Consider the following 21,380-nt stretch of genomic DNA (forward strand, 5'->3'; position numbering starts at 1 on the left):
ATATTTAGTAGAGACAAGGTTTGGCCATGTTGGCCAGGCTAGTCTCAAACTCCTGATGTCAAGTAATCTGCCCGCCTTGGCCTCCCAAGGTGCTGGGATTACGGGCATAAGCCACTGGGACCGGGCTGTATTTTTCTTGATAAAAGATCAGCACACCCAAATCCCCCTCCCAATGAAGTAACCACTTCTTTTCTTTTTGAACTCACTAATTTCTGCAACTTTTGTTTGATGTGTCAGTAGTTACTGACACTCTTCCCTGTCCACCAAACTCTCCCCCACCCTCCAGGGTTTTCAGCTCTGTCAAATTCATAATGCATCTCTGTGTGTGTGCATAAGGATATACACTTGTACAAAACGCAGCCCATATGACAAAACCATTTTTACAAATGTTTGCCTTTTTAAACAAAAGGTGTGCCATATATTTTTATTAAATCATAGAAAACATTTGTATACAAATCTTTTCACTTTGGGAAGACTGGAATATTAAACAGCTGGGTAACTAAACAGTTGAAAGATACATTTCACTTTAAATAGAAACAAGTTTTAAGTTGTCACACTTATTAAAACAAAAAAAGCTGAAATAATTGGTAACAGGTTGTTGGCTTTTTAACCTTTAGACCACAGAAATAATCTCTCTTATAACCCTCAACTTTAAGAATGTTTTTTATTACTTACATCAACCACGAATTTAAAAGATAGTTAACTTGAATTCTGAATACAAAATCAATGTCCTTGTACCTACACAGGCTTTTAGAATGCTGCAAATGCTGAATTTTAGGAGATGGTTTCATTCCACAGGACTGACTGAACTTCCTTTCTACCATGGAAAATGTATGTAACAGTGTGGAATATATTTCCGAATAAGTTAAATATTAAGACATACAATATGGCAATAATGTCCTACTTTTTTTCCTACCAAGTAAATTCAAAAGTTCATCCTAATCTTATACGTTTATAAAACGGTGAAGACTGAGGGATCCAGTGATACTGAAAATACACAACAACCATCAGAACCACATTATCTACGGCAGAATATGTACAAATGTTCCTGCCAAAATCATGCTTGCATTCATTCCACAGGTGACCAAAAAGAACAGAGTTTGAAGTTCACCAAATGAAAACGAGCAGTGATTTTGACATTTAGGTCATCACTTGTTCTGCTTCTGAGCAGAGATCCAGAGGTGACACAGTGCAATATCTGCACTCACACCAAACACCACATAAGCACAAATTAAATATTGTCAAAATATTTTTAAATTAAATTGAAGACCATTATTTAAGTGCATGAGATATTTTTCCCCTAGCTTCTTGAATGCATGTTACAGAACAAGAATTAACAAGGAACATGTTAGAGGCCAACCCAATCCTCTGAGAACTCCCTGGGGTAACATATGAGACCTCTGGTGCAGGGCTGAGGGGAGGGACAATTATCCACTCCAAACACAGGGATGGTCTCAAAAAATCAGTCTTCCAAACTCAGGTCTGGATTTCAAACTAATTGAAGAAGGAACTGAAAATGCTGTTTTGGGGACTGGTATCTTGTCCACAGAGTCTTCTTCCCCAGGACCCTTCTTATCCAAGACCTTTAACACTGCAAGCCTCATTTAAAGCCACCCCCAGGTCCTGGGCCCACTGGTGTCGATCTGCAGACCTGGATCTGTCCCAGGGAACATGTAAACAAATCTGGGAAAAATCACATTTCTGCAAGTTTTCCTTGTATCAGTGAAAGACCTCTTGGGCTAAGAAAAATAATAGGAAGGGCTGCCCCAGTGTCATCTTCCCACGAGGTTTGTCTTTTGCTCATTGTGCTGTGGAAAACTATAAAGTCAAATCAAATACTTTTGCCTGACTCGCCCCAAATGATATGAAACAGAAACATTTCTATGGACTACTTTATTCCTGAATTATGAAAAAAGCTTATCTGAGCATACTTGGTTTGCCATCTTGTTACTGGAGGTGACTTGGAGATGAGGCCAGGCTTTTGTGCAGGTTGGGATTCTGGCTGTGTCTGTTTCGACTGCGAACAGACGAAAACATGGTGTTGCAGCCTGGTACTTTGCATTTGTGGAGCTGCCGGAGGTGCACAGTTTTGTAGTGGGCCCTAAAGGTCCCTTTGTTACTGTATGTCTTTTGGCAGAGATGACAGGTTATGGGCAACCCAGAAGGCAGGCTAGCAAGGCTCTGGTCAGCCTTCTCCATCAGGACACAGATGGGGTACTCATCTTCCCCAGGGACAAGGCTCGACCCTTCACAGTTCCCATCACTGTCCTCCATAAGCACAGTGCCTTCCTCACTCACCCCGTCAGAGTCCCAGGAAGAATGGCTGCTACTCTCTGACTTCATGCTCGAGGTAGTGCTCAAATCCAGGATGGTGCCCTCGCTCAAGGGGCCAGAGTTGTAGCTCTCCAGGCTGGCACTGTGGACTTGCGTTATTGGGTAAACCAGACTGCCCATTCGACTTGTTCCTTTGAAGATGACAGATGTCTGGGAGGCTTGCTGTGTAAAAGCCACATCCTGATAGGCTTCCTTAGCCACATCTTTCAGAAGGTAAGCTGCACGGAAATGATCTTCACTACTCTCCAATGCTTCCTGGCTCAATGCTTTTTGGTGGAGGTTTAGGTTTGAGCTGTGTCTACAAGAGTGAAAAGATGGTTAGTAATGGGTTGGGCTGTTTTAGAAACAGTCATCATTCTGAGTGGAGAGACTTGGTAGATACCAGGAAAAACATGTGGTATGGGAGCACCGATGATAAGGGGGTAGGCCCCCATGGGATGTAACACCTGTCTGGTGGATACAGACCCACTGTTGTTCATTGCTTGCCAGAAGTTAGTGTTCACCAGGAAAGCCGACAGTCTGGATACTGAGAATATGTAGTCTTCTTTGATTTCCAGTGTCTGTTTGATGTACTTTCTGTACCTCATGTCCTTTCTGTAAATGAGCTCACTGTTTCAGAGCTACTGGTTTAGACATACCCCTTCTCCCAGGAAGCTTTCCTTAACTTCTCATGGTGCCCTCCCATGTGCCCACAGCAGCACTTCCCCCATTGTAGAAGTCATCACATTCAACTGTAATTGCCTGTTTCTGGTCTGTCTCCCAGAATGACTAGACTAAATCAACTAGACTAGTTTAACTAGGACACTGGAACCAGGAGATCCCAGGAGAAAACTGGTCACAAACTATAAGGAACTAAGAAAAGGACTTTATTTCAATGAAATCAGGAAACATTACCTTCTGGGGCTGCACTGTCCAATGATAGCCACTAGCCATATATGGATACTGAACACCTGAAATGTGGCTAGTATCATATGTTGAAAGGATAATATTTTGGATATACTGAAGTTAAATGTTATTAAATTTTACTGCATCTGCTTTTTTACAGTGGCTATAATATTTAAAATTTCATATGAAGCTTGCATCGTATTTCTATTGGATAGCACTGGTCAAGAGCATTGACATACACTTCATCCCAAAAATTCTAAAAGTGTGGTTGAGAATCCAATTGGCTAGAATTGTGTGTGTATGTAGTTTAGTTCATATTTGTAACGTTTCACTATCCTATACCAGACAGAAGTTTTGCAAATGCAGCAGAATAAGCATACCACCAATCTTCCACCCAATGATTACTCTCGAAGGACAGATAATGAGTATCCATTATGACACATGCCTTTTAGTCATATGTTATCATTTGGAATTAACTTGTAAATCAATGTTGGTCTTCCTCAGAAATCCTCTGCTAACTTTTGACAAGCAAAAGTCCTTACCAAGGGGGTTACAATCTTAAAGGTGATAGGAGAATTATTCCAAATAGAGAAAACACTCCCCCAATACATATCAGAATGTATGGCAGAGTCAAGTTGGGAAAACACCTTCACCAAAATAACTAAGAATTGAACTTTTTAAATCCCCAAAGACGTGTGTGGGAAGCTTACTTATGTTTTATAAAATGTACAAAATTTACTGTTCAACTTCTGTCTTCTATTCCCTTACACATATATTCTGGACATAATCAGAATTATACTCCCAGATCACCCACTTTGCAAGCAGCCCTTCTTAACTCCAACTCTGCCCTGTGATTATGTCAGCATTCTGGGTTGAAGGGGCTGGTATGTGCCGACAGAAAACCAGACACTGGGTGGACGTACAGGTTCCAGTACATACAAGTGGTTAAAAAGAAAGACAAACACTTTTATTGGAACCTTGTAAAGAAAGGTCCCTACTGGAACAAAGCAAACCTCTGGGACTCATACTCAACTCCTGAGTATTCCATGCATACTAATGGCTAACTTGTGGGCTCTCGCTCCTCTCAAGCCTTAGAGGGTTAGATACATTTCCTGAGGTGCCATGTCCCCTAAGACCAGTAACTACTACAACTGTAAAAACCCTCTGGATCATGTGCCAGGCTTTGGTTTCTAGGACTCTCCTAATCCTGTACTCACTGCCCATGTCTCCATCTCTTCCCTTCAACCCTACAACCTCTACCTCTCCCCTCCAACTCTTCCTCTTGGCTTCTATTTTGATTAGTTGAGACCAGTGGTTCTCAAAGTGTGGTCTGAGCACCCCTAGTGATCTCTGAGGCCCTTTCAGGGGGTTCCTGAAGTCAAAGTTTCATAATACTAAGATATTATTTGCCTTTTTCACTTTCATTGTCTCATGAGTGAACAGTGGAGTTTTTCAGAGGCTACGTAACACAATTTTGCAACAGAGCATATGCAGAAGCAGATATGAGAATCTAGCTGTCTTCTACGAAGTCAGACATTAATGAGATTTACAAAAATGTAAAACAAAGCCACTCATCTCACTAAATTTTTGCTTTGGAAAATGTAGGGTTTTTTTCATAAACATATGTTAATATATAATTTAAAGTTTTACAATTTTTAAATTTTTAATTTCTAATATGATAAATTTTGATAGATATAACCCAAATAGAGAAAAGCTCTTGAGTAACCTTAGGTTTTAAGTATTTGTAAAGGGGTTATAAGACCAAAACGTTTCAGAGTTACTGGTGTAGACATATCCCTTCTTCCAGGAAGCTTTCCTTAACTTCTCAAGGTGCCCTCCCACAACAGCCTACATTTCCTTCACTGCAGAAGTAATCACATTCAACTGTAATTGCCTGTTTCTGGTCTGTCTCCTCCACTACAGAAGGCCTCTATGGGCAGGGATTATGTCCCCAGCACCTAACATAGACAGTTCTTAATATTTGCTGGGTAAATAAGCATCCAGGGTGTTGTCCCAGTCCCTTCCTGATGGGTCTTGGTAACTGTTGCTGGCAGTAGCAGTGGCTCAAAGAGAAGTTAAATGTCCCTACAGGAATGTGGTTCTCAATCTCTGACTGAGAGAAATGGTGTCAGGTCTGGGCCTGCCCACAAAGTCAAATTTAAAATACTGTAACTTAAATCATAGATTCTAGGTAAAATGCATTTCAAGTTCTAGACTAATTAGTGGTTTTAATTTATAACGCAAGATGCTTTCCTGTTGTGGTGGGGGAAGGCTCGGATCTATTAATACAAATAGGTCAGAACATAAGGAAATATTAAATCTATGAAAAAATAAATATCAAATGAAAAAGTATCTTGAATCCAATATGCCTTCCAATTTAGTAGATATTGTAGGATAGAACAGTATCATAAATATCAAAGATAATATGACCAACATGACTGTCTCTGTAGCAACAGCTTATTCATGAACAAACACTCCTCCTCTTGGAGGCTGAAGAAGGACTGGTTCACTAATTAGGGTGCCTTGGTGGTTTGGTTCAACATCCTATCAGTAGAAACACTGATTTAATATAAACATTTAACTAATATCTCCTGTGCTCTATCCTCTTTGCTAAAGACAATAAGTATGTTCTTATGAGCCCTGTCCAGGAATGTGTGTGGGAGTCTGTACATTTTCACCCTCTTAACAAATTAGGCATTACAACTTGGACCAAGTGGTGGTGTTGAACTGCTTCAAGTCAAGCTTGTTTCTGCAAATGTAGCATTTTAATATTCAGTGTACCATTTAACATTTATCATATTCCATTTCATCAGGCAGCTGATCTTTTCCATAAGCCTCCTGGGGCCATCTTTTGGTATGCTTGCTCTTCCATTTATAGGCTAGGGAGGAAGGTGACCTGAAGAGTGGTTAGGTGACTCAAGTTCATGAAGAAAAGCACAAGCAAGACAGTAACACCACTGCTATCCCCACGGTGATGAGATATGCTCTATAGCGGGGGACTTTGTAAACAGTTTGCCTGCGTGTGTGTGTCATGAAAACTCAGGATCTTTCAACCAGAAATCACAGTCCCTGAAACAACCTGCCAATCACCTTTATTCTTTTATAACTTAATATTTAAAAAACCTTCAATCAAGCAGTGATTCTTCCTTTCAAATGTAGCTGGGTAACTAGAAATAAAGGAAAATATTTTATTCTATGGATTTCATATTATCAAATGAAAATGAGTCACGTTTTGGGACGCTATAGTGGCAATTTAAAAAGCTCCCTTCTCACTCTTATTCAAATAGTTGTTTACGCTTTACTCAACCTGCTAATGTGACAACTAGTTCATGTTTTTTTTTTTTTTTTTTTTTGAGACAGAGTCTCGCTCTGTCGCTAGGCTGGAGTGCAGTGGCATGATCTCAGCTCACTGCAATCTCTGCCTCTCGGGTTCAAACGTTTCTCCTGCCTCTGCCTTCCCAGTGGCTGGGACATGACTACAGGTGCATGCCACCACGCCCAGCTAATTTTTCTATTTTTAGTAGAGACAGGATTTCACCATGTTGGCCAGGATGGTCTCGATCTCTTGACCTTGTGATCTGCCCGCCCTGGCCTCCCAAAGTGCTGGGATTACAGGGATGAGCCACCGCGCCTGGCCATAGTTCATGATTTCTTATCCCACACCCTTGTGGCCGGATGTGTTTCTGAGTTCAGAATTTCTCAGACTTCAGACAGGCAGAATGATGCATATAATGAAACATTGTTAATGCCCTATAATAAATCCATTACTATTTGTACTATATATGTATTTATAAATCCACACAAAAGGAGATTAAAGAAGATTACAAGTAGCCTCACATCACTTCAGGTCAGGTTTTGCAGCCAAATTAGGTTAGGTTTTTGGAAGTAAAAATTCATGAATGTTGAAATATGAAAATTCATAGAACGGTTTCTCAAACTGTAGCCCCCAGAATAGTAACATCAGCATCATCTGGGAACTTGTATTCATGAATGTTGAAATATGAAAATTCATACAACAGTGTTTCTCAAACTGTGACCCCCAGAATAGTAACATCAGCATCATCTGGGAACTTGTTAAAAATGCCAACTCTCAGGCCTCACCCTAGATCTAATGAAGTGGAAATTCTAGGGTGGGGCTCAGAAGTCTGTGTTTTAACAATTCTCCGGGTGATTCTGATGCATGTTAAACTTGAAGAGCCACTGCCTTAGAAAAAATGATTGCCTACAGATGCCTTACCTGTCTCTGCTCCTGCGGGAGGGAAAGGTAGCATTACAGCCCTCCACTGTGCATGTGTGCATTTCTTTGACATGCATATTCTTGTGATGAATTTTCACACTACAAGCATTTTTAAAGGTCTTCTTGCAGATGTCACACTGGAAGCGATTTTCTTCTATCTGCCTTGCTAATGCATGCTGACCCACGTGCTCCAGTTCTTTAGAATCTTCAAGACAAGGAAAAGCCATTCCCCTGTTGGACAAAGCACTGAAGAGTCCCCCAGCCAGCAGGCGCTGCTGCAGTTCCATGTAGTCAGAAAAAGGAACTTGGGGTTCCATCCCAGGTGTGAAGTAGTGTTCATGGCCACCATCCTCGACCTCCCTTGGCACCATGATCAATGCTGGTGTCTGCTCAGTCTCCCTCTCTGAATTGTGTGTGGCCTGCTCAGGGGTTTGGCTGATGGCTCCACTGGACTCAATTACTGATTCACGATGGCAGGGCCTCTCCCCTTCAGGGAAAGGCTTCCCTAAGCCTCCTGACTGTACATGCTGCTCCTCAGATACTCTGTGTGACTGAGGACTGCAGGCCTCCTGCTCATCTTCACTGACCACCTGTAGGGGCATGTCTTCATCTGAGCTGAGGTTGTGTCTTTTCTCATTAGCTATTTCCACAGCTTCTTTCTCTATTTTGATAGGCATACTGGACTTCCTGGATTTCTTCTTGGGAAGGGCATCAAATGGCATTTCGTTTGAAATGAGCTGTTCTGGGATTGAAGAGGACAACAGCGGGAGGGAAGGGAGTATCCCAGGCGTGTTTGCTACCTCGGCAGGCGTGGCTGGACTGCGGTAGAAAGGAAGGACTGGCTGGACTGTCTTTAGGTTGGGAAAAAGCACACCATTTTGCCCAATGTTTGGGAAGGCTGGTTGGCCTTTGGAATCCTCTCCTGAACCAGGGTAGCTGGGAGGAGGCCTACAGTCTGGGGACGTCACTGTGAAACCTGGGCACTTGTAGTTCTCAGAGCTGGCCAGGTTCAGGCTGTTCCTGAGGTCTTTGTCCCGGTTATTTCTGTTCATTGGCATGTGCAGCCGAGGGTTGGGGTTGGCGCTATGGCGATTCCGGCTCCTTAGGGAGCTGAACACCATGTTACACCCTTCGATGGTGCACTTATGCTTGATCTTCAAGTGGACGGCATTGTAGTGGATTTTGAGGGTGCCTTTGTCATAGAAGGTCTTCTCACATGCAGTGCAGAACACCCGGCCCTTCTTTGTACCAAGGCTATTCCTCTCAGGCTTCACTTTGGCCTCAGGGGATAACTGTGTCCTTTCAAACTTAGTGACAATGTTGTATGAGCTGGAGTCACTTAAATGGGTGCTGTCTTCTTTTTTAGTAATAGCATCCGGACAGTTTAAACACTGATCTTTTTCAACCTGAAATGGTGTGGAACTGGAAGTTAAGAAGCTGCTGTCAGGGAAGGGCCCATGGACTTCCTGTTTGGGGTCCTGACTTTGGTCATGACCCTGCTCCAACATATATTGTTCGGGCAATGACCCTATCAGTGCAGGAGGCAGAGGGTTGAAGAACTGGAAAGGCAGCATGAAAGTCATGTTGCTTATGAGGTTCTCAAAGGGGTGTATACTGCTGGGGTTTCCTTTGTCCACAGGAGTGGGGAGGCTAGAACTCCTGTGACTGCAGCTCTCGATGAAAGCCCTGATATCTACATTTGCTGTGGAAGGTGGTATGATGATGGATTGCTCTTCTTTCTCTTGAATTGCCATGAGTTCAACTATAGATTTGGTCTCTCCAAAACGAAGGAACTGCTGCAAGGTGGCCACTTCTTCCTCACTGGTCATGATGCTCCAGTGATCCAACACCTTTCCTGATGCATCCTAAACCCAAACCAGATGTTAGAAGTGTGATCAATTTACAACTCCTTACCCTTTCCTCTAAAAATGTAGTCCACTAGACTATGGGATACTTTTGTGCATATAGGAAAAAGATGAATGCAGGGCTTTGGGGAATTTAGTCCCTGCTCACCCTACTCTCCCAGGCCAGAAGCTTTGTGCAGAACATAAGCTGCACAAATATTAGCAGTAGTCCTACAATTGGTGCAAAAGAGACAAATAAAACCATATTACTCAAGTGAAGTCAGGGAAATGTAGTGATTATTTTTCACCTCATTTCAGACCAATTGCTTGTCTAGCATTAGACATAATAATTTTCCCTGCTAAAATTAAAATATGTATCATTTGAACAATAGTAACTTCTTTATCTAAAGAGAATAGATGGAACAATCAGGCCTAGATGCAGCTCAAGTATTCATTTGCTGCAAGTTTAATAATCTTCCTAAGCAACTAACATCAGAAAACAAATGAACTGTATTGATCTACTGCACACATTCACAAAGCAGGGCTGTAATTACACTGGAGTGTTGGAGATCTTTCAAACTCTAGCAAGGCCTAACTTTTCCCAAAACTACAATAAATATTTTATCACAGAACATGTATTTGATGGCCTACTGAGATTTTTCACAGTGCATGTAAGAGTTTTGAAGATGATGAAGAATGTAACATCATAAATTTTTCATGCACTAGAGGTTCAAGGTAATTGATTCCATATTTTTAATCCTAACACTAGAAAGCAAGATTATTAGGATCATTAAATATTGATCTATGTCCTAACGTAAGGTCATAATGCTACTCTACATAAACGGTTGTTTCTAGTCTGCTGGGGGTCCTGCACTAGAGGTGAGCAAACATTTTTACAGGGGAAGATTATGGTCTTTTGAGTTAAAAAGAAGTGAGTACAAATTCTGGGTCTGCCACATACTAGTGAAATGACTTTCAGCATGATTTTGAGGCACTCTAAGTCTCTGGTTTTTTGACTGGAAAATGGGGATAATATGCCTAAGCTTAAGATTATTGGGAGTGGATCTAGGTCTACAAAATTGTTTTTAGTGTTCATTTTAATTACATGGCCTACCTCAGTAAGACTGACATCTATGTTGGTCTTGGAAATATGTTCGCCTCCCATTTCATTGAAATTTTTACCAAACTTTGACATTTTCTAATGTAATGGCAAGAAAATACAATGCTGTAGCTGTTTCATATCTTAAAGGAATGATGCTTCATCTCAGGAAACATGTTCTTTGCTTCTAAAAACACCTTGATAGCCTCTTTGGAAATGAAACATGAAGCCTACACACTCAGCATGATCTGGGAACAGAGGTAAACTACTCTGCAAAATAAAGAGGACAGAGAGGATGAAGGGCTTGGAATACTGGAGAAAAGAAGAGAATATATGAAGATGCCAAAAGAAAACTGGGGTGTGGGGAGGGAGGGAGGGAGGGAGACATACACACACACACACACACATATAGAGAGAGAGATTGAGAATGAGCAAATGCATACATGAACACAGAAATATAAAAAATAGAGCCTAAGAAGGAAGAACATCAGTGAGATGGCAGAAGGCTTTAAAGAACAGGAAGGTGTGCTATGAAATTATAAGTTGTTTGCTGTGTGGTTCATGTAAGTTCCCTTTCTCAATCCCAAACTCTCAGTAAAATCTGATACAGACAGATCTTGTGTCAGTAAGTAGTTTGGGACTAATGAAAGACATGGAGGCAGCACCTGAAATGGGGCAAATGGTTTATTGTGGAAGAGGTAGTTTAGTAAAAGCCAAATCAGAGAATATGTAATGCTCCTAAAGCTTCATAGGTATCTTGGAGGAAAGCCTTGGACTCCCCCCAAGAACATGAGGTAGGGGCTTAGGCCATTAGAAAAGAAGTATTAAAGGGAAAGATGGCCACCAAGGGCTGTAGCATTGGGAGGTAACTGGGTTACGTCAGTTATATGGGCACAAATTTCAGAAAGCACCCTAGGAGGACAATGTTCATGTTTACTGTACCTGCAGTACGTATCCACGGATATAATCCTGAAGTGTCCAGTCCAAGGCATGGAGGATCTGGAGAACCTCATCTTGCTTCAACACACTGAAGAGCCGGTCCAGTAGGATTTTTAGGCGAACGGGGATGGCCTGGGTCCCATAGAGCATGAGGCTGCTAATATCAAACACTACATTGGACTGGACAATCTCCACCTGGCTTGTTGGATACATGGGGGGGATCCTTAGCTTACTTAGAGCTGAAAAATCAAATTGAGGAAATGTCATTTTGAAAAGTTCTAATTGTAAGAGAAACACTGCAAAAAAAAGTAGGTTAGGACCAATTCTTGGTTATTTATTCCACAGAAAATACATGAATATACAAATGATTAAATACCTTAATAGCTATGAAACTTCAAATTATTTACAGGAACTTCTAAAATACATGAACTAGCCTGAGACTTTTCTCCCTTTCTTGTGGCCTTGCTAAGGAAAGAAATAGTCACAAACAAGGAAGGAATAAGGAAAAGGGGTAAAAACTGAGGTGGGAGGTGCATAATCAAGAGAATAGCTAATCAGGAAGCATAGAGTCTGGGGGTAAAGAATCTGGGTTTGGGAATCTGAGAGACCTGAGTTTGAGCGTTAGTTGTGGGGCTTGACATTTTCTAGTTGTGGGGCTTAACAAATTAACCCCCCTAAGGCCACGCTGTCCAATGTAATAGCCATCAGTCACATATGGCTATTTACATTTAGATTAAGTTAAAATTAAACAAAATTTAAAACTCCATTCCTCAGTTACACTAGTCACATTTCAAGTACTCAGTAGCCACAAGTGACTACTGTAGAGTTGTCAGATTTGGCAAATAAAAAAAGATTCCCAGTTAAATCCAAACGTAAATTTGAGATAAACAATGAATGGGTAGGATATACATATACTAAAAATATTCATTGGGATATACCTAGGCTAAAAAACAATCTGTTGTTTATCTGAAATTCAAATTTAACTAAGCGTTCTGTATTTTATCTGGCAATCCTAGCCTAGAGGCTGTAATAGATAGAACAGAATACTTCTATCATTACAGAATGATAGCAATGAAGCACTAGTTTCTACATCTTTAGAATGAGGTTAATAAGACACTTCCCATATAGAGTAGTTAAGATTCAAGACTCTTTGAATCTTAGCCTGTTACCTGGGACATGCTAGTAACTTACTAGTTTACTAGTTAGTTGTCATTCTTAAGATATTAAATCAGTTCCTGAATAACTCTAAGTTACTTAGAGGTAACACTACAGGCCAAGAGAGGGTGAAAAATAAAGTTACCGTGGGCCACCCATCCATGCTTGCATTGGTCACACTGACGGTGGTTTATTTTCCCGGGTTTGAAACTTTGGCAACTACAGTTCAGAGTACAGCTGATAGCCTGAAAAAGAGGAGAAAACAGGTATGTGGAGCATGTAAGTGATGTGTGAAACATTCATTGTATTTCAAACAAAACATATTCCTCCATTCGGCAGCACTTATTGAGCAATATGTGCCCACTGTGTGCCAGGCCCAGAAGTGTATATTGTACTCTGGAAAGATGAGCAGCCACCCCTGCACCTGGAGACCGTGAACACATTACACAGATATTCCACATTCAAGAATGAGTTTAAACATCAGAACTTTTTATAAGAAAAGATTATGGGTTAGAATGAAATCTCCTGCACTGTTATTAAGCTCATAGAAAGGGTAAACATATTTTCACCAAATTTCTAAGTTGACTAAAGCAGCAACCCTGGAAAGTATACAGAAGCTGTCTTGGAACAAGTAAAAGGGAGAATAATATGAACTGAGAGTAATCTACATATAAAATTTATTTCCCCCCACCCACAGATATGGTAGAAGCTGAAAATACAAATAAGATTTGAGAACATGTAATAGCTGACTACACTGAGGATGATTCCCTGACGCCATTCACTGAACTATGTGACTGTCAGAGACAGACACAGGCTGAACAAGCCTTGCATCAATGCCCCTTGCATGTTATGGTGCCATGTTTTATGTGGGGGCATAGAATGTACAAAAATATAGCTGAAATTGAAAATAGAGATGTACATGTCCAACAAAGTTCCAGTATTAAAAACAAAGCTTTGTCTGAGCGTGGTGGCTCACGCCTGTAATCCCAGCACTTTGGAAGGCCAAGGTGGGTGGATCACGAAGTCAGGAGTTCAAGACCAGCCTGGCCAATATGGTGAAACCCTATCTCTACTAAAAATACAAAAATTAGCCGGGCATGGTGGCACATGCCTGTAGTCCCAGCTACTCGGGAGGCTAAGGCCGAAGAATCGCTTAAACCCGGGAGGCTGAGGTTGCAGTGAGCCAAGATCACACCGCTGCACTCCAGCCTGGGCGACAGAGCGAGACTCCCTCTCAAAAAAACAAAAACAACAATGACAAAACCCACAAAGCTTCACGTATATTTTTAAGATGAGTTTCTCAAAGGAGATACAGTACTGAAGAATATAATCTATTATTAAACAGAAAAAGCCCTCAAAGCAGCTTTGTCAGTGAGGTTCCTGGGAAGAGCTGCTGGGTAGAATTTGTATGATTCACAAGAGTCTTGAAACTGGGAAGTGCGTGTGTGTGTGTGTGTGCGCGCGCATCTGGAGGAGGGATAAAAAAGCCTTACAATTAAGGTTTAAACCTCTAATCTGCCAATTGAGGGACTATGTGGCCCTGCATGGGGGAGAGGGAAAGGAGAATCTAGCTGAAGACTTGGGAAATTCATTTTAAGGAGTATATGATCAGTCTCCACTTAAAAATTGGTTGCTGGTGGGATTGTAAAATGGTACAGCCACTTTGGAAAACATTCTGGCAGTTCCTCAAAAAGTTAAACATAGAGTTACTATATGACCCAGAAATTCCACTCCTAGTTGTATACCCAAAATAACCAAAAACATGTCTACAAAAACTTGTATATGAATGTTCATAGCAGATTATTCACAATAGCCAAAAAGTAGAAAAAACCCCAACATCCATCAACTGATGAACAGATAAACAAAATGTGATATATCCACTCAATTGAATACTACTGAACAATAAAAAGTAATGAAATACTGATACATGCTGCAACATGGATGAACTTTGAAAATATTATGTACTAAGTGAGAGAAGCCAGGCACAAAAGTCACAGACTGTGTGATTCTATTTACATGAAATGTCAAGAACAGGCCAATTGATAAAGGCAGAAACCAGATTAGTAGTTACCTGGGGCTGTGGAGAGTAGGGTATGGATAAGAAGTGACTGCTAGTGGGTAGTAGTTGGAGGGAGTGTGTTCTTGTTTGGTTTGTTTTCATCTTTGAGAAAAACAGCTTTATCGAGATACAATTCACACATACCATATAACTCACCCATTTAAGGTGTACAATTCAATGATTTTTAGCATATTCACAGAGTTATGCAACCATCATCACAATCTAATTTTGGAACATTTTCATCTTCCCCAAAAGGAACATGTACAATAATATGGTAGACACATGTTTTCACTTCTCTTGGGTATAGTCCTAGAACTACTGGATTGCATAGTAACTCTTGTTTAATGTTTTAAGAAACTGCCAAACTTTTCCAAAGCAGCTGTATCATTTTACATTCTCACCAGCAACGTATGAGGGTTCCAATTTCTCCACATCCTCATCAACACTTGTTATTGTCTGTTTTTTTCATTAGAGCCATCCTAGTGACTGTGGGTGAGATCTCATTGTGGTTTTGATTTGCATTCCCCTGATGGCGAATGGTGCTCAGCATCTCTTCATGTGCTTATTGGCCATTTGTATGTCTTCCCTGGAGACATGTCTCTTCAGATCTTTTGCCTATTTTTAAATTGGGTTGTTTACCTTTTTAGTATTGAGTTATACAAGACCCCCATATATTTTAGATATACGTGCATTACCAGATATATGATTTGCATACACTTTCTCCCATCCTTGGGTTATCTTCGCTTTCTTGATGGTATCCTTTGAAGCACAGAAGTTTCAAATTTTGACCATGGTTTCTTTTTGAGGTGATGAAAATGTTCTAAAATTAGATAGCAGTGATAGCTGCACAACTCTATGAATATACTGAAAGCCACTCAACTGTACACTCTGTAAGTTAATTTCATGGTATGTCAATTACATCTCAATAAAAATATTATTAAAACACAGGCTGGGTGCAGTGGCTCACGCCTGTAATCCTAGCATTCTGGGAGGCCGAGGTGGGCAGATCACCTGAGGTCAGGAGTTCAAGACCAGCCTGTCCAACATAGTGAAACCCTGTCTCTACCAAAAATACAAAAATTAGCCAGGTGTGGTGGCATGCACCTGTAGACCCAGCTACTCAGGAGGCTGAGACAGGAGAATCGCTTGAACCTGGGAGGTAGGGGTTGCAGCCTGGGAAACAGAGCAAGACTCTGCCTCAAAAAACAAAACAAAAAAACCAGTGACCCTGCTTAAATACAGGTTAAATTTTTCATGATTTGACTGTCTTCTACGATTTATTTTGGACTAGAATGGGTTTGAACACAGCTGCAGCTAGGCATTTTCAGGTGATGCGGAATAGGGCTGTTTAAAACTGAGGTGTACAGTAAATAGCAACAGCATTACCTAATCCATTCAAGAGGCTACCAAAAAACAGGAAATGTGGGAGAAAAGGTTTTGCTCTTGTAAACTGTACAGTATAATACAAAAAACTCCATGTGATTAACACTCACTTTAATAATGCATGCATTCTCAAGGGTGATGCTATCATCCCCAAAGGAATAAAAATTGGTCTTGGGGGGTGAAAGAATTACTCTATGTATAAACACAGATGTACATACATACATAAACCTATATCGCAATGGTGTGATCCTAAAATTTCTTTGGAGAGGCACAATTAAGAAAAAATGTCTAAAATCTCCTTAGGTGTGGAGGTTAATGAAAAAAAATCAAGAAACACTGTTCTAATGACAGAAACTATTTTACTTTTTGGTTACAGAGTTTCTACTTGCATATACACATACAAATGTATTAAATACATGAACAGTATACATCTATGTAAGTATACCTATATACATAATTATATAGTTACCTTGAATGTAAGTTAAAGGATACAAGTGAGTGATGGTTGAATTTACATTACACACTGTCAAAACAAAAATTCTAAAAGGCACGATTAACTTAGTTTGTAATACACCTAAAACGTTGTCCAGCATCTCAAACTTGGCTGCAACCCTCTGAACATCAGCTCACGGATGAACCAATTATTGCTACATTCTCAATAGCACCAGTACACTCAGTACTAAACCTCTGAAATATTTCACAATCTTGATTCTATAAATATGACCATTTTACAGAAAAATTTTAAAAGGGAGAAAAGTTCTTATTTTGGATTATATCCCTCAAAATGCCATTCCTTTTTTTAAAATTTTTATTTATTTTGAGACGGAGTCTCATTCTATTGGCCAGGCTGGAGTGCAGTGGCACAATCTCGGCTCAATGCAACCTCCACCTCCCAGGTTCAAGTGATTCTTGTGCCTCAGCCTCCTGAGTAGTTGGTATTACAGGCATGCACCACCACACCTGGCTTTTTTTTTTTTTTTGTATTTTTAGTAGAGACGGGTTTTGCCATGTTGGCCAGGCTGGTCTCGAACTCTTGACCTTAGATGATCCACCTGCCTCGGCCTCCCAAAGTGCTGGAATTACAGGTGTGAGCCACTGCACCAGGCCCCATTCACTCTTTAAAAACAAGATGTTGGAATTATATGAGTAAATTCACATTTTGCTTATTTGGAAAATAAGACCTGCTTTAACCAGAAGTAGAGATGTCCTTAAGCACATGCTTCCTGAAGACTCTGCTCAAAAGGCTCACGCAACCCAGGAAACCAGGTGACTGTCTCAGGTTCAGCACAGCAAAATCATAGAGGGAACAATTCCAAGCACATTTCATAGATTAATACTGAAACTTATTTTTTGCATCTCGTCACCTAGGTCAGGTTTTCTCAACTTTGGCACTACTGACATTTTGGCTGGATAATGCTTTGTAGTGGGGGGCTGTTCTGTATGTACGACATCTGATCAACATCCCTGACTGCTACAAACCAGATGCCAGTTACACCCTACCCTCCAGTTGTGACCACCAAAAATGTCTCCAGACACTACCAAATGCCCTTGGGGGGGGGCCTATACCACTCCCATGGGCATTTGGGGCCTATAGTTTTAGTTTGGGGGCAATTTTAGCTTCAGTTTCGGGATAATTTTAAATAATTTTGTCTATAATTCAATGAATGAATGCAGCTTTATGAGAAATATTCTTGTGGTTCTCCATGAGCCCATTTGAATAAGGCTTAATAAAGCTCATTAAACATCTATGGAAATAAATCTCAGAGGAATTATTTATGAACTAAAAAAGCTAATTACAGTGTCTAAGAAAACTTCCAATATCAAGGCCCTTGGGTTTTTCCACCCATCTTAGAACTCCACGACATAGTAAAATTACAGCACCATTATCTAAAGATAAATGAAAACTTCTAAAATGAAATTAAATGAAAATATTCTAATTACAGGACAAAAAGTACTCATGTAAATCAAAACGGAAAACTCTTAAAATGTATAGCCTTTGGAATCCATTCTTGTTCCATTCTTCAGAAACATAAAGCAGATGTTTACAACATTCTGAACTCATCAAGACACAATCATTGCTTTTTAATGCACTCATCTTAATCAGACTATTTTCAGAATTGTTATTAATCACTTTGATGTGCTACAAATCAACATTCAAAATCCTGGTTTGCTTTTTCGTAACTATCGTTTTCTCATTTATCTAAAAACTACTGACACACCTAGTATGTGATGGAAGATTGGGTTTTGCAGTCTTGGGATAGAAAGTTATGACCTAGTTTTTAGGCACGCTCCTGGACCCACTTGGTCTCTCGGACACCCTGTTCTACCTTTGGCTTGAGGAGATGCTACCACAGGCCTCTTGTCAGGAGATGCTGAGTTGAATTCCTGGCAGTGATCAGGCTAGGCACATAGTTGGGTATATACATAGATATTCAGTGCCAGACAGAGTAGGTCTCTCATGGGATTTGAATTGAGCTCAGAATAAAAACTGTTTAGTTCAAGGCTGTTTTCATCTCTAGTATGTGCATATACTTTCATTTCACTGAAGATAAACCCAGGGGGATATTCCTGGGGGACTAACTGGTAAGGGGAAGAGGGAATTTTGGGGTTCCCAGATTCACAGCACTGGCCCTTTGAAGGGAGTCATTTGTATTAATTAAAATTAAATAAAATGGCCAGGTGCGGTGGCTCACGCCTGTAATCCCAGCACTTTGGGAGGCCGAGGTGGGTGGACCACGAAGTCAGGAGATTGAGACCATCCTGGCTAACACGGCAAAACCCCGTCTCTACTAAACAATACAAAAAATTTGCCGGGCGTGGTGGCAGGCGCCTGTAGTCCCAGCTACAGGGGAGGCTGAGCCAGGAGAATGGTGTGAACCTGGGAGGCGGAGCTTGCAGTGAGCTGAGATCGCGCCACTGCACTCCAGCCTGGGTGACAGAGTGAGACTCCATCTCAAAATAAATAAATAAATAAAATGTAAAATTCAGCCCCTTGGTCACACTAGCCACATTTCAGGTGCATAGTAGCAACATGTAGATAGTGGCTACTCTATTGGACAGTGGAGATACACAACATTTCCATCATCACAGAAAGCTCTACTGGACAAGGCTGAGTTCAATGGTAGGTAGATTAGCCACCCTTCCAGCATCTGCTTTTTGACGTGGTTTATCATGTGATCTATTTTAAACCTCACTACAGTACTGTGAGGAGAGAATTATTCTCAGAAACTTAAATTTATGGAAGATTTGTAACATGCCCAGGGTCACGCAGTTGGTGAGCCTTATTGAGCATTTATTACATGTGAGATACTGTACTAATCAGTGTACAAGAATTATTTCATTTCTTTCTCACAACTACCCAGGGAGATTAGGTATTACTATCCCGATTTTATAGATGAGGAAGGTAAAGAACTTACAGGCTACTGGGATGGTCTCAAATTTGGATACTAGGGGAGGATTACGCCTTGAAATATCAGTATTTGGTGCTAACTACAGTTATGGTTTCATTTAATTCCTACAACCACTTTCAGAGTTAGGTATTATCATACACATTCTGCAGATGGGGACATTAAAGTTCCACACAGTAAAGACATTTCATTCATTGAATAAGTATTTACTGAGCATTTATGAGCCAGGCATTGTTCTAAATTCTACAGATTAAAATGTTGAACAAAACTGATAAGGTCCCTACCTTCAAGGAGCTTATATTCTAAAGGGCAGAGACAGGAAATGAACAACAAACAGTATCATTTCAGAATAAGGCAAGTGTTATGAAAGAACTAAGAAGAGGCCAGGCGCAGTGGCTCACGCCTATAATCCCAGCACTTTGGAAGGCCGAGGCAGGGAACCTGAAGTCAGGGGTTCAGGACCAGACTGGCCAACATGGCGAAACCCCATCTCTACTAAAAATACAAAAATTAGCCAGGCGTGGTGGCGCATGCCTGTAATCCCAGCTACTTGGGAGGCTGAGGCAGGAGAACTGCTTGAACCCGGGAAGTGGAAGTTGCAGTGAGACGAGATTGTGCCACTGCACTCCAGCCTGGGCGACAGAGACTCCATCTCAAAAAAAAAAAAAAAAAACTAAGAAGAAAGCTATGCTAATGATTTAACTGGGTGGCATGGAGGGATAGGGACAGGAGTAAGAATGTTTTAGATTGAGTCATCATCAAGAGCCTTTGAGGAGGTAACATGTGAATTGAGTCCCAAGGCATGCCAAGGAGTTGGTCATGTGCAGACTGGAGAGAGAGGAAGTATTTAAGGGAGAAGGCATAGCAAGTGCAAAGGCTCTCAGGCACAATAGAGATGGGTGTTCAGGGAAGAGTTAAGGGGCCAATGTAGCTGGAGTGAAGTTGTTGAGGTTATTAGCAGAAAATGAGAATAAGACAGGTGTCAGAGACCACTGTGCATAGGACCTTGTGGGGCAGGTGAAGGAGTCTGGATTTTAACAGTAAGCCTTTTTTTTTTTATGTATGAAATGAATATAATCTCCCTGTTAAAAAGATACCTCTGGCTGCAGGGCTGGGGAGCCCGAGCCCCTTCCCGTTCACCTCACCGGGCACCTTTCACTGAGAGGTAGTAAAACCTAGGATTGGCCTCAACCTATGTCTTACTTCCAGTTAAGCCATGTAAAAACTTCAGCTCCATGCCTTGGTGCCTTTGGCCATCATGTGGGCTGGAAACCTACTCCTGCCTACCTCAGAGGCCTGTTAGCCATATTAATGTGGATACACAGATGGGGAGCTGAAGCAATCAATCAAAACAGTGAGACTGTTACTGCTGCCAGACCCACAACAAGTAAGTTCTTCGGTCTTCTGGGCTCTGGTTGTCCGACTCTGCACAGAGCTACCAAAAATATCTAAGGTAAAAGCCCCTAAAAAAGTTGCTTCACAATGAATCATTCCTGCAAGAGGCAATGAAACAACTAAAACTCCAAACCAACACTTAGCACTGGGCCTGATACTTGGTAAGCCCTCCACTGGTATTATCTGAGAAAGTAAACGAATGATTGAACAAATCAATGAGAGAACTGTACTATGCTTACTGATTATTAATCTTTTTCCCCCAGTTATCTTTTTCCCCAATATGCCTTAGTAAAAATAAATTTAATTTCCAAGTCTCAGTTGGTGGTCAGGTGACTTAAGTACTGACCAATGGTATACAATACAAATTGTTGGGTGAAGTATTGTAGAAAACTCCTCATAAATAGCAGATGACTCTACTGTAAGACCTGTCTGCCTTTCCCTCTTCCTCTTTCTTGGAACAAGAACCTGATGGCAGGAGCTCAGATACCATTTTGTGACTATGAGGCAATACCGAGGTCATGCCCTAAGGATGGCTGAGAAGAAAGAGTAGCAACTATTATTTAGGAATTCTTTTAATTTGCAGCCAAATGCAGTTTCTAGTTTACACACTGATCTTCCAGTTGACTATGGAGAGGGCCATGTA

At 40.9% G+C, this 21,380-nt stretch overlaps 1 protein-coding gene across 4 annotated transcripts in view; it reads right to left on the reverse strand.

Moving 5' to 3' along the window:
• Positions 1 to 389: 389 nt before the first annotated feature.
• The window catches only part of BNC1 (basonuclin zinc finger protein 1), a 28,781-nt gene continuing 7,790 nt past the window's right edge, over positions 390 to 21,380 (reverse strand). For 3 of the 4 annotated variants that reach the window (NM_001717.4, XM_011521893.2, NM_001301206.2), the window contains exons 2-5: positions 12,639 to 12,738; positions 11,342 to 11,577; positions 7,457 to 9,321; positions 390 to 2,632 (exon numbers count right to left, since the gene is read on the reverse strand). In NM_001717.4, coding sequence (NP_001708.3) covers positions 1,948 to 2,632; positions 7,457 to 9,321; positions 11,342 to 11,577; positions 12,639 to 12,738 — 2,886 coding nt within the window. In that variant the 3' untranslated portion in view covers positions 390 to 1,947. Of the gene's footprint in view, positions 2,633 to 7,456; positions 9,322 to 10,414; positions 10,670 to 11,341; positions 11,578 to 12,638; positions 12,739 to 21,380 lie in introns of those variants that run through there. The other variant, XM_011521894.1, reaches the window with a different exon arrangement.

Source organism: Homo sapiens, chromosome 15, assembly GCF_000001405.40.
Source record: "Homo sapiens chromosome 15, GRCh38.p14 Primary Assembly".
NCBI classification, from domain to species: Eukaryota; Metazoa; Chordata; class Mammalia; order Primates; family Hominidae; genus Homo; species Homo sapiens.